This window comes from Homo sapiens, chromosome 9 (genome assembly GCF_000001405.40).
Source record: "Homo sapiens chromosome 9, GRCh38.p14 Primary Assembly".
Classification (NCBI taxonomy): Eukaryota; Metazoa; Chordata; class Mammalia; order Primates; family Hominidae; genus Homo; species Homo sapiens.
This window is the reverse complement of record NC_000009.12, coordinates 62,271,197-62,284,260: the sequence shown is the minus strand read 5'-3', so window position 1 is coordinate 62,284,260 and position 13,064 is coordinate 62,271,197. Positions and strand designations below refer to the sequence as shown.

Here is a 13,064-nt window from a genome sequence, read left to right as displayed (position 1 = left end):
GGTGTATTATCATTATTGTCTTACACCATTTTCTGCAGTGTTTCACTTAAGCCAACTAATACTCTGACCTTGATTTGAACCATCCAACAGAGAGTAGGAATTCCCTCCACAAAGCATGTTACTCATTAACATCTTCCTTTACAAGTCTCTTGATGTTCATTCACAAACTCAATTACCTTTTTCCTCCATCAACCTCAATTATTTGCATCATTTTCCATGGGCCTATGGGAGTATTTAATTGAATACATATTTTTTCTTCTCAAATCAAATTTTCTGAAAAAAATTTGTTTCTATGAACTGTATTTTAGGTATATTCCAGGTTGGTACAAACACTAATTTTCAGGGGTCATTATGTCAAAGAGCCCATCCACACCCCATGGCCTACATATGTCAAAGGATTGTTCTTTATTCATCCACTTTCTATGAATTCCACACACGGGAGATAAACTTCTTTTTCATCCATATTACCAGGGTTGTCAGGGAGCAACACTGAAGGTCACAGTGTTCAGTGAAACCTTGCCATAACTTAGACTAAACACGTTTTTCCCATAATTTTACTTCTTCAAATTCTTTCTTTTTCTTTCTTTCTCTTTCTTTCTTTCTTTCTTTCTTTCTTTTTCTTTCTTTCTCTTTCTTTCTCTCTTTCTCCTTTTCTTTCTCTCTCTCTCTCTCTCTCTTTTTCTTTTTCTTTCTTTTTTTTTTTTTTGACAGGGTTTCACTCTTGTCACCTGGCTGGAGTGCAGTGGCACAATCTCGGCTCACTGCAACCTTCACCTCACAGGTTCAAGCAATTCTCCTGCCTTAGCCTCCCGAGTAGCTGGGATTACAAGCACCTGCCACCATGCCTGGCTAATTTTGTATTTTTAGTAGAGACGGGGTTTCGCCATATTGACCAGGCTTGTCTTGAACTCCTGACCTCAGGTGATCCACACTCCTCAGCCTACCTAAGTGCTGGGATTTTACAAGTGTGAGCCACTGCGCCCGACGTTGAGCTTGTTTCTTTATGAATTCCTGCAACTCAACATTAAAGACATAATATCCCATAGTGATTAATATATCCAATAGTCCTTCCTGACTAAAGGTACAAAGTTAATCCTAGTGTTGTTAATAAGCATGGAAGTCATTATTTATTCAGTGTCTTCGGTTCAAGCATTGTCTTAAACCAAACTGATTTCCTACTACAACTGAGTCCTCTAAAAACAGCTTCCTCTAGTGTCCCTATTTGAAGTAGCAAGTCATTTTTATCATAATGATGGGCCTCCTAGAACACTACTTCAATTAGATTTAATATCACATGACCAAATCCTGTAATTCTTTCAAAATGCCTGGCAAAGGGGCCAGTGCTGCTTAACTTGCCACTCATGTAGTTCATATTATGTGCTAATTAAATGTGTCTAGTTTGAAAGCATTGTCTACACCTACAAATAATGTGCTTCATGAAATTCTCAATTAGGTATATCCTAGCACCAGATACCGTTTTATCTGGCTGTGCCATAGGCTTCCCTTAAATGTCCTCTACTTACCTCTTGAGGGAGTTATTTATAATTTTAAAGCATTAAAGCAAACATAAAATCACATTCTCTGAGGCTTTCTAGGTTCTAGTTTTATATTATTTAAATTAATTCCATTTACATTCACACTGATATGTTCAAAGCAACAGACCAGATCAAGCTGTGACATACCAGACAGGCAGCCACTATCTGCTTTCTATCATAACCAGGGAGCTGTCTTAGCAATGTATCATTTTGATTTATGGCCATATAGGGTGCAGAAATTCTATTCTACAGCATCCTCTGCTCTGTACAATTCATTGGTAGTTTCTCTGGAAAAAAATAATCTAGAATGGTAAACAAAGCCTAGAAACTGAGTGATAACTGTAGTCAACTACACACAAGCTGAGTTGTCAGGGGGCACTTTGTCATCTGTTTTATTCAAATTATACAGGTAGAACATCCAAATCAGTAGGAGTCCAATTTTCCTTTTCTGCAGTAAGCAGGCCAAGAGATTTTCACCAACAAAGCCCATTTGTTTGGATGACAATAGCAAAAGATAGTTAAGTATGATATCCTCACTCTGAGCTGTTTGCATGAAAATATTGTAGTGGCTTCCCTCCACGGTAATGTAATCTACTTATAAACACCTTTCCCATCTGCTATGATTTTACCCTATTTCCAAATGCTTCCTCCCAATATCAGGCTGTATAACTCATCATGCATAATGTTTGCCCGCACAATCAATAACAAGAACCTTACTAGCACACCCAAACAAATGTTTGGGTTTTATTTGTTTGTTTGTTTAACTTTTATTTTAAGTTCATGGGTACATGTGCAGATTTGTTACACAGGTAAACTTGTGTCATGGGGTTTGTTGTCAAACAAATGTTATAAGTGACAGACAAAGGACCTCAGAAGTCTCTCCTCTGCTTGATAATGGAGCTACCTTCACCTTTAGCCCTAATTGGTTACATAGGAAGGAACTTTTGATCCACCACAAATTACCTTTCAGAAAAGGCACAGTCAAATTAAATGACACAAATATCATGTCTTGGGTATTGTATAATCTTCCTCTGGTGCAAGTAAATTTAAAACTGGGTTTGAGACCGCCATTAGAGGCCAAATAAAAGTATTAGAGGTGGGAAAGATATAAAGTTATATATTATTGCATTCTCCTTCACTCCCTCATTATTACCTCTTGATATTAGTAAGGCACAGTGGATTTTGTTATTTATTTCTCATATTAGTCTCAGGACGCAATGGTTTCACTAAATGAACCCTTAATAATTTTTGAGCAAGGGGCCTTGCTTTTCATTTTTCACTGGGTTACAGAAGTTATGTAGCTGGTCCTTCCTGTTGACATTGGCTGTGTCATTCAGTGCAACAGCATGTGTCTTTCAAATGGATTATAGCAAACAGCTGCCACAGGCATATTTTGAGTCAAAATCCTAAGGAGTCTAAATTGGTGGTCTCATTTAACTTTTCCTAAAGGGCTCTAGTTTGGGTATGCCCTAATATCATCTGACCAGTTGGATGGGATCATAAGGGCCTAATGTTATTGCCTGTGCTACCACCTACCACGATACTTTTCATGCTTATTTCTGTTCAGTACCTGCAGTGAGTTAAGTAGTGCTCTTCTGAAATTATTATTCATTCAGAATCTCAGAAGGTGACCTTCTTTAGAAATTTGCACATACAATTAGTTAAGATGAGCTCCTACTAGATTAAGGAGGGTCCTAATTCCAATGACTGGAGGTGTTTTTATAAGAAGAGAGGACACATGGAGAAGAGATTGAAAATGAAAGCAGAAATTGGAGTAATAAATCTATAAGTAATAAAGCTCCAAAAATTTGTAGGAGAGAGTAGAACCTAGGCAGGGGCAAGAAAAGATTTTTTTCTGTGGCTTTTCAAGGAAGCGTGACCCTATTGACTCCTTGGCTTCAGACTTCTAGCCTCCAGAACTGTGAAATAATAAATTTCAGTTGTTTTAAGCTACCCAGTCTGTGGTAATTTGTTCCAGCAGCCCTAGGAAAGTACTACAATGCTGTATTCACGTTCTGAACTCTTTCCAGTTATTTTGTGAGTATGGGTAGACAAGATTCTTAGAACAGTCTTGACAGTCTCTGAGTTTATTGCTTATTGGTGGGTCCTATGAAATATAAATTACTTCTCACAGTTTAAGGAATGTCCTAAGTTGATCTGCACTAATTTATAGGATTTAGTTGGAGTTTAAGGAATGTCCTAAGTTGATCTGTACTAATTTCCAGGAATTAATTTGCACCTTGGGCTGTGCCTTAAATTCTAGCTGGATTTATCAGCCAGCTTCTATTTGTAATACAGGTGACTATGGTCCTTAACTCCTCTCCTAATTTTTGCTCTGAGAAGAAAATTATCATCATACCATGAAAGTAGTAGATGAACTCTATCTTTTAGGCTATTCTTTACCAGATTATGGAAATGTGATAATGAATTTTTTTTAAATCCATGATAAGACAGTAAACATATACTTGTTTCTATTCTGCAAAGCTTAAAATTTTCCTACTTGAAATTTAAAAAAAAAAACTCTTAGGAGGCCCCTGAGATTGGTTTAATGCTCTGTTGTAGCTATCTGGAAATTCTTAATAATTTTTGAGTAAGTATCCATGCATTTTCATTTTATACTCAGCTCTATGAATTATGTAGTTAATCTTGATAACATATCAGAGCCTCTTGTCTACTTTATTTTCTGTACATTCTTCATCCTATCAGGTACAGATGAAGCACGCAAATGAACCACCTTGATACTCTACTGTAAATGTCCAGGGGCTACCTACTTATTGACCAGTTAGAACTACAAAAAGGAAGTTAATGTGGGGAGGGGAACTTCCTTCTGAACCATTTTCTTAATTACAACAGTAGTCTCTTATTGCGCCCTTGGAATTCTGCATTGCTTAATATTTACTACTGTGGAGAGCTTGAGCAATTCCAAAGGATCCCATTTGGCAGAGCTGATTAAAATTTGGTGAAGAGTGAGCTCAGTCTTCATCCTCTGTGGAAACACAAAGACGACAATGTCCCATTCATACTGAATGACAATTGCAATTTTGTATTTATGTAAAGGTAGCACAAGCAGGTAATATTCTCTCCAACCACACATTTCAACCTGTAACTTCATCTTTACCTTGGTTTCCTCCCTGATGTTCTCTTCATGCACTCCAGATTTCACTTAGAGCATGTATGAGACTCTTTCCTACCTTCCATAAGGCCTACTGTAAATTCTGCTCTACATCCTACCAATGATAAGAAACTTTGAATACCACCCCAGGTAACTTTGTTCAAATTATATATATGGCCTCAGATCCATGACTGGGGCTGGAATGAACAGACCTCAGTTCTTTATTTAATTGTTTTCAGATTCTACGGCTTTAATTAAGGCAGTAAACTCAGCCCCCTGTTCAAGTATGTTCTGTTCTATATCACTATCCTCATAATTGGATTTGAACTCTTTCAGCCACAATAAATAAAGCAAATTTTCTATGATTCTTTAAGGGATTGGTGGGGGCTACAGTACTCCTCTCCTCTGATTCAAAAGTTGATAATGTGCTTTTATTTTCTTATTAAAAATTCTATCAAGGCTTACTTTTTAAATCCTATTTATATTTTCTTCAAAAGTAAATTAATTCAAGTGAGCTGCCTTTCTATTTTCTCTTCTGATTTTTAATTTCTCCCTGTTGTGCACATGATATAAATGCTTTTTCTCCGTATAATCCCATGTATAGTAACTAAACCTGTATGTTTGTTACTGTTCTCTGAATATATATATTTGGCCCTCAAGGTTATATAAGTCTTGTAAGACAGAGAATCATTAGCTTATCCCATTCACTCTATCTCTTATTATTTGTATCAATAGCATTAACTAAGGTGTTTTCTCTCTGGAAAATATAAAGCCTGTCAACATTTACACTTGTATCATTCCTATCATGTGAAAAGGAGAATCCAATTGGCAATTTGGAGAGGAGTAGTAGCAGTTACCCTTCTCAGTATAGGACTGACAAATCTCACCTTAACAACTGCAGCCGATATGCTGTCACAGTATTTGGAAGTGTTTTCTCAAAAGTTTACAGCCATTTAATGATTAGCCATGACCATGAATAGTCCTTTGCATCAGATAATAATAGAATTGCAACATGTCCTCCATCATTAATTTGAAGAATCCATGCCAATGTTAATTCACCAGTCTTCTGTTAGTGAATACTCTGTTCTTTAATAAAATATAGTTTTCACTCATCACCTGTCCTTGGACTCCGGTTACATAAATAGTTTGTCCAATAATCAATATTTTGAGTCATTTCTAAGGATACATGAAATTTCTCCAAGAAACCAGGGAGGGATAAGAAGGTTTTCCAGTGAATAAAATGTAATCTCGCAGCTTTTTCTCCCACTATCATCTCCTCCTATTAAAAACTAACCTATTAAAAGGTTAGCTTTTACAGGTATGCTAGCAGGAGTCAGTCAATGGGATTTGCACCCAATTTCCCTTTGTCCATGTACTCCCTAGACCCGTACTCCCAGACTGTAGTCTATGGCCCCCAGATTTCAATGGTAAGACTTATTTCCCTTAACCTGCCTCAAAGATTCCACTACCTCATACCAAAAATGTACAGCCAACTATCCTGAGAACAAATTCTCATATTTTTCCATTATTTCCTTTTGAAAAGGAGCCCAGGTAGAAAAAGAAAACATTCACTATTTTGGTGTGTGGGTCTAAAAGACAATCCTGCTCTCAGTGCCAATCTGAACCCACAAAAAGCATTGAATTGTCAAATCGGACTCACATTGAAGATTTTGCTCAGTATCATGCTTTCTGAATAATTTCAAAGATAAAATAATCATGTATGGGTTAAGTGGGGAGAGACCTGTGTCCTTTCATCTTCATTGAATGTGGTCTCATCCAAGTTTCTAGATTTGGTTTCTAAGTAAAATGTACAGTTGCTTTACTTACTCAGGTGTATTCTCAGTTACAAACCATCTCCTTTTATACTTAGATAGCAACACAGCTAACGTGACATTTTCTTGGGAATCATCACCCTACATTTATTGATTCCTGGCTTATTTTTCATAAGCAATTTTAGACAACTCTGCATGGTCTGCTAGAAACATTTTATGAAGAATGATTCTTTGGCTACCAAAAACTATTTAGTTTATTTTCTAAGAGACTTGCATTAATATGTTTGCAGAAAAATTAAACCAGAACACCTGACTTCTTTATTTCCCAGGAGTTTTCCTCCACACCTGCCCCCATCAGGGGAGAAAATTGATCAGGAGGTACCACCCCTTTCCACACCATTCTTGAATCTATTCTACAGAACTCTCTCACATGGTCTAGCAATATGTTTAAGGTAGAACCCTTTTTCTATCAATATTTCTTATGTGTTAAATTTGCATTATTATATGTTGACTAGAAATTATATATTCCTTCTTAAACATTAATCATAATGAATCTAAAAACCTAATTTATTTCAACCAATAAATTTCTCTTTAATTCCTGTCCTCAACATTCTTGTCCTCAATATTCCTATTGTTACTGTTACAGTTATGAAATCATCTTAATGAAATCACAGCTAGACCAGTGCATTAATTTAAAACAATAGCATCCTTTTTCTATAATTTAACTTCTTCAAACTTTTCTTCACTGTTGTATAATGATAATTACTCTAAAATGACAATCTGATCATTAAAACTTTAATCATTTACTCTCTGCCAATTTCATAAATAAATATTTGATTCACAGTTGTTATTTCTTCTTCAAGATACATCAAATAATCCACCTTTATGAAAAGCAATTTACTGTTTCATAAATGTGCTTTATTATGTCACATATTCAGTCTTTTAAACATTTTGTGCCATCCTTGGTCATCAAATAAATTTCTATCTACTAAACATGACTGACTTAGCAAAACGATAGCCTTAGTTTCATGCATGTCTCCATCAATTTTGGAATTGCTTTTATGCCCAAACTGCAGTGGGAGAAAAACACACAACAAAATTGTGTTGATTGTTATCTCTTTAAAACCACAACCTTGAAAAGCAAATGTGCCTTTAAGGCGGCCAAACAAGCCCATTTTTCTTTTGTTAGCCATTGCCTTCTTCCTCTTATGTAAGATTAACTTATGGATTCTTTCCTCATTTCACACCCCTCACATACTTTTCTTCAATCTCAATGCCAGCTGATGACCTTGTTTCCTGTGTCAAAAAATAAATACATAGATAGATAAATAACAATCAAGAGGAAATGTATGCAGACTCCCACTACTACATATACTTAACGCCAGTATCTAAAATTACACACTACTCATCCTGCATATTAATAGAGCAGGGTCTTTTCTCTGGTACTATGGACAAACTGAGCCAGATAATTCTATGTTTGGGATGGGGTGTTGGAAAGGTTGCCTTGTATGTTGCAGGATGTTTAGCAACATCCCTGGCCTCTCCAATTCGATGCTAGTAGTAACTCCATTCACAAGTTGTGACAACAGAAAACATCTCCAAACATTGCCAATTGGCTCCTTGCAGAGTGAAATCTCTCCTTAAAGAAAACCACTGCCAGAAATGAAATGTTTATACACCTACCTCAAGCTTACGCCTTTACTTGTTCATCAACTCTTTCTGACTACACAGGCTATAGACAGATACTTTTCAATACTTACCCCTCTTATACATAATCAAATTTTCCTCTTTATTGGGTCATTTCATGATCATACAAATAAGCTATTACTTCTGTCATACTAGAAAATAAAAGCAAATAAGCAACCAGTATTCTTCATTTTCCCCATTTTCATTGTCAGATACCACCAGGGAATTTGATCCCTTTTTCACCAAAACTCTTTAAAAGGATAATTTATAGTCACCGTGTCATTTGCTCCTTGCATTTTCTCTTTAATCATTTCATTTCCATACAGATTTTTGCCCCCCACTACTCTAATTAAACCTGTCCTCCACTTTGTTAATCTTATAGTTATTTTTCTCACCTTACTTGATTTATCAGCAGCATTTGAAGTAGATTATTCTCATAATACTATCTTCATTTGACTCCCTGGTTTTATATTATTTGTATACTTCTCTCTCTCTCTGTCTCCCTCTCTCTCTCTCTCTCTCTTTTAGTGTTTTCTTCTATTCCTCAGACTCAATGTTGGAATGCTCCAGGCCTCAGTATTTTATTTCCCCCCACCATCATCTTTCTCTGTACTTCTTTCCTTGGTTATCTCATCCAATCTCGTGGTTTTACATGCAGTGTAAATGCTAATGACTCCCAAATTTATATTTCCATGCCATATCTCTATCCCAAATTCCACACGCATAAATCCAATTGCATTTTTTACACTTCCACCTGAATGTCGTGATGATAATGGGTCTATTTTTCCTGAAACCCATTCCTCACTCTGCCCAGTTCAGTTCATAAGACAGAGGGGATGAACACTGTGGATTATGTAGCTCAGATTTTCTGAAAGCTGGCTTCCAGTTAGGCTCAAACAATAGGAGACACATGTAGAAAGATGAAAGGCAGGAACAAGGAGAAATCTAGATATTGTCTCATTTTCTCCCTGTCATCCCTAATAACAGTTACATTTTTTACAGGCTCCTGCTCCTTTACATAGGCCCACTGTGGTTCCAGCTTCCCCCAAATATCCCTCCCTGCAGCTCCAGTAGTACAGCCTCCTATCCCTGTTCTCCAAGGGAAGGTGATAGTAGCCTCCCATTGTTGCTAAATTGTAGGTTGCCTCACTGTCCCCTGGTTGGCTTTAATTTTTTTAAAGTTATTTCTACCATCAATTACCTGTATCAATTCCCTTTGTTTTAAATTCTCAATGATTTCAGTTTTCCTGGCTAGTTTCTGATTACTTCAGATACCTAATGGAAATCTCAAAGAAAGTATGACTCAAGAGAAATTGTTGATTTCCATCTCCCAGCTACTACCAAACCTGTTTATGCTTATCCATTTCATTTGATGGCAAGTCCTTCCTCTGGTTGCTTAAACCCAAAGACTTTATAATATGTAGAATCAACTACTTCTCACCATGTCTACTGAGGTGTGAATTACTACTGTTTTCCTCTTGGATAAAGTCAATATCTAAAGAGGGGACTTTTCCTAAAAGTGTCCTCTTACAGTCAGTTACCAACACAATATCCACAGTCATCCTTTTTACATAAAAGAGCGTGTCACTTCTCTTCTTAGGACCTGTAGTGACCCTCTCTTTCATTGATGGTAAAATTCTAAGGCAGTGTGAGTTTTAAAATACCCTGTAAATATGTACAATTATTATGTCATTTAAATATAATATATATTTTTAAAAATTAAAAACGTATATCAAGGCCCAAATTACTTCTGTGTGCTCATCGTTAACTCCCCTTCCTCACTCATCTCCAGCCACACTGGTTTCCTTGAACCCCTTCAAACAAGCCAGATATGGGGCTGTCTTGGGCTTTTGCACCGTCTTTTCCCTCTGCCTGGGTTCCCTTCTTTCAGATATCTACATGTTTAATCCCTCACCACCTTTAAATTTTTGCATAAATGCTATCTTTTCAATGATGTTTTCTATGGCCTCCCTACTTAGCATCTCAACCTGTTTCTTGGACCAGCATTAGAAAATGAATATAGAGAGATGAACACAATATATATGGCCCTGCCCTCATAGTCCTAGCAATCTACAGGGACACAAAATAATATGCAAAAAAGTATTTGAATTATCTTCAGCACCTTTCTAAAGAAAAAAAGCTACTTAAAACTTACACTTAGAAATGCTCAATATGAGTCAATACATTATGTCACCACCTAAAGTAACAAGATGTTAGGCTGCAACTGCTGTATGTTTTGAATGAGACTCATTACACTATGAAGTCACATACTTGTTTAATATTATAATAAGACAGAACTAAATTTAAATCATAGTTATACCAAACACTAGCTACACTGAATCTCTACATCTCAATGTTCTCACCAGCAAAATCAAGCTTATAATAATACTAGCTTCTTCAAGTTATTTAAAAGATAAATGAGCTAAGACATGTAATGCTCATAGCCCATTTAGAAAGGCAAAATATAAGGTATAGTACATAGAAACCACTGACCATTGGTAATTCTGAAACACTACAGGTCAGACAGTTTGAATGAACCATATACTAAAGGTTGGAAAAGTTATTTGATTAAACTCTGCCTTTTTTTTTTCTGGGAAGAACACATAGATTAATCACTTTGTATAATCCCAACCTCTCCCTTCTTGGGAGTGGGGATAGGGGAAACAGTTTTCATCATCTATGATCTTAAGTTTCCTCATGCTCTTTCTCATTGTTAAGACAATACCACTTATTTTAGCTTATTGTTACAATAGTATTTCATTTTTTTCTAACAACTTGGTATTAGTCAAGATGGGATATAATAACAAATGACTCTTGAAATCTTCATGGGTGCCATGGGAAGTTTCAAGAACACAACTTGAAAGTGAATTGCATGACTTTGTTCTGTGTTTCATTGACCACTACTCATTCAGTGAGCCTGAAAGTAACTGTGTATATCACTGTTAGTATACTATGCATGCCAGATACCCAAGACTCAAACTTTTCCTTTCCTTTAGATACCACCTACTTAGTCATCAATTTTGGTTCAACCTACTCCACTAAATAGCTTTGACTTCCATTCACTTACCACTTTAGATTAGTGCTATAGACTCCTATTTTACCTCCTTCATATCAATCCCCTTAAAACTCCCAATAGCTTCCATTGTTTCAACCAAAAGCTCAAATTCCTTTAATATAAAGTGTTATATGAACTGGCACCCTATATACTCTATATCCTAATCTCTCATCTTTCATTTATTTCTTTAACTCCTGACTCATGTAACAAAAATGTATTTATCTCAGCACGTATGTACTCCCTTGTTATGCTCTCCCAAATGTCCCTGTATTTTTCATTGAATAGCAATTGCCACATTTTATTTTATATGCTTGTGTTACCATTTATATATATATTTACTACAGACTCTGCTTTTAGAAGGCATACACTGGCCAGGCGCAGTGGCTCACACCTGTAATCCCAGCACTTTGGGAGGCTGAGGCTGGCGGATCATGAGGTCAGGAGATCGAGACCATCCTGGCTAACACGGTGTAACTCCATCTCTACTAAAAATACAAAAAATAAGCCGGGCGTGGTGGCGGGCGCCTGTAGTCCCAGCTACTCGGGAGACTGAAGCAGGAGAATGGTGTGAACCCAGGAGGCGGAGCTTGCAGTGAGCCGAGATCGTGCCACTGCACTCTAGCCTGGGCGACAGAGTGAGAATCTGTCTCAAAAAAAAAAAAAAAGAAGGCATACACTGTGATATTTGCAACATCAAACAAACAAACAAACAAACTAAAATTGGAAGAATACCCAAAAATAACTCAAAGGAATAATTTTAATTTCAATTAATTGATTATGGCCTTTATCATTTTAAGATTTTTATATGTCTACTTTTATGAACTCTAGGCTAGTTTTTTCCACTTTTATTTCTACAATCATGGGGCCTATTTTATATTTTCTCTTGCACTTGATTATAGAAGAGATTGAAATGAGTTAGGAAACATGTACTTGAAACCAATAATGGGCACACTTTACAGGATTTCAAAATCTAAAAATATCATAACATAACTTCAGGGAAGAGTAAGAAGTATTGGTGTCATTTTTTTCCTTTTAGTAGATTAGTTGAAGAGGTAAATTGAACATGGACTATATGTCAGACTTTTTTTTCCAAATTATATTCTTAAATATATAGTAAAACATATGCTAGAGACAGTTTTTTAATAACAAACAATATTTGAATTGAGATCCTGAAGAAAAATAAATTAACTGTGTAAAAATGTATTACTAAATATCTGCATTTTCTAGAGATGTATCCTTAAGTATGTAGGTATAAAATTACACTCTGAGATATATTTTTAAAATAATTTGGCAAGAAGAGAACAGGGATACCTTAAGCAGAAACAACAAAATTATGATAATTGTTGAATATGTGTGATGGTTGTATGTTAATGTATTGATTATTTTGTGTGGGTATGAAAACATGATAATAAAATCAAATTACAAAAAAATAAAAAATACCTCTTGCTTTTTTAGCAGCTTATTACATTGTTTATAACAGTGTCTACAGCGCTATGATTGGTCAGAGCCAGAGACTATAACATTTAATAAAACGAGTCCTCTAGAAGCTCATGGGAGTTCATTTACGGCAGCAAAGACCTATATTAAATGGACTGAATATTTAAGGAGTAATTATGTTGAGTAATGTGTTTATTTATAGTTTTAATTATACATTATCTTTTTTGGTTATCTTTAAAATATATTAAGCTTATGCAAATAGGATATGCATCATAACCCAGGATCTATTATCTGAATTGCTTATATACTTATAATAACATAACTTTAAAAGAAAGAATCAAACCATATTGCTAGCTTACAGGTTGGATCTTTCTAGACAATAGTTATTTACCTGAATGTTTATTTTTGTTTTGCATCTTCATCAGTTAAAACCAACAGTTACAATACAAATGAAAGTTAAAAAATAA

General features: G+C 35.7%; 1 long non-coding RNA gene across 3 annotated transcripts in view; it reads left to right on the top strand.

Annotated features, from left to right (window-relative positions):
- LOC105379263 (uncharacterized) overlaps positions 1 to 13,064 on the top strand; it is a 104,681-nt gene that overhangs the window by 70,184 nt on the left and 21,433 nt on the right. The window lies entirely within an intron of this gene.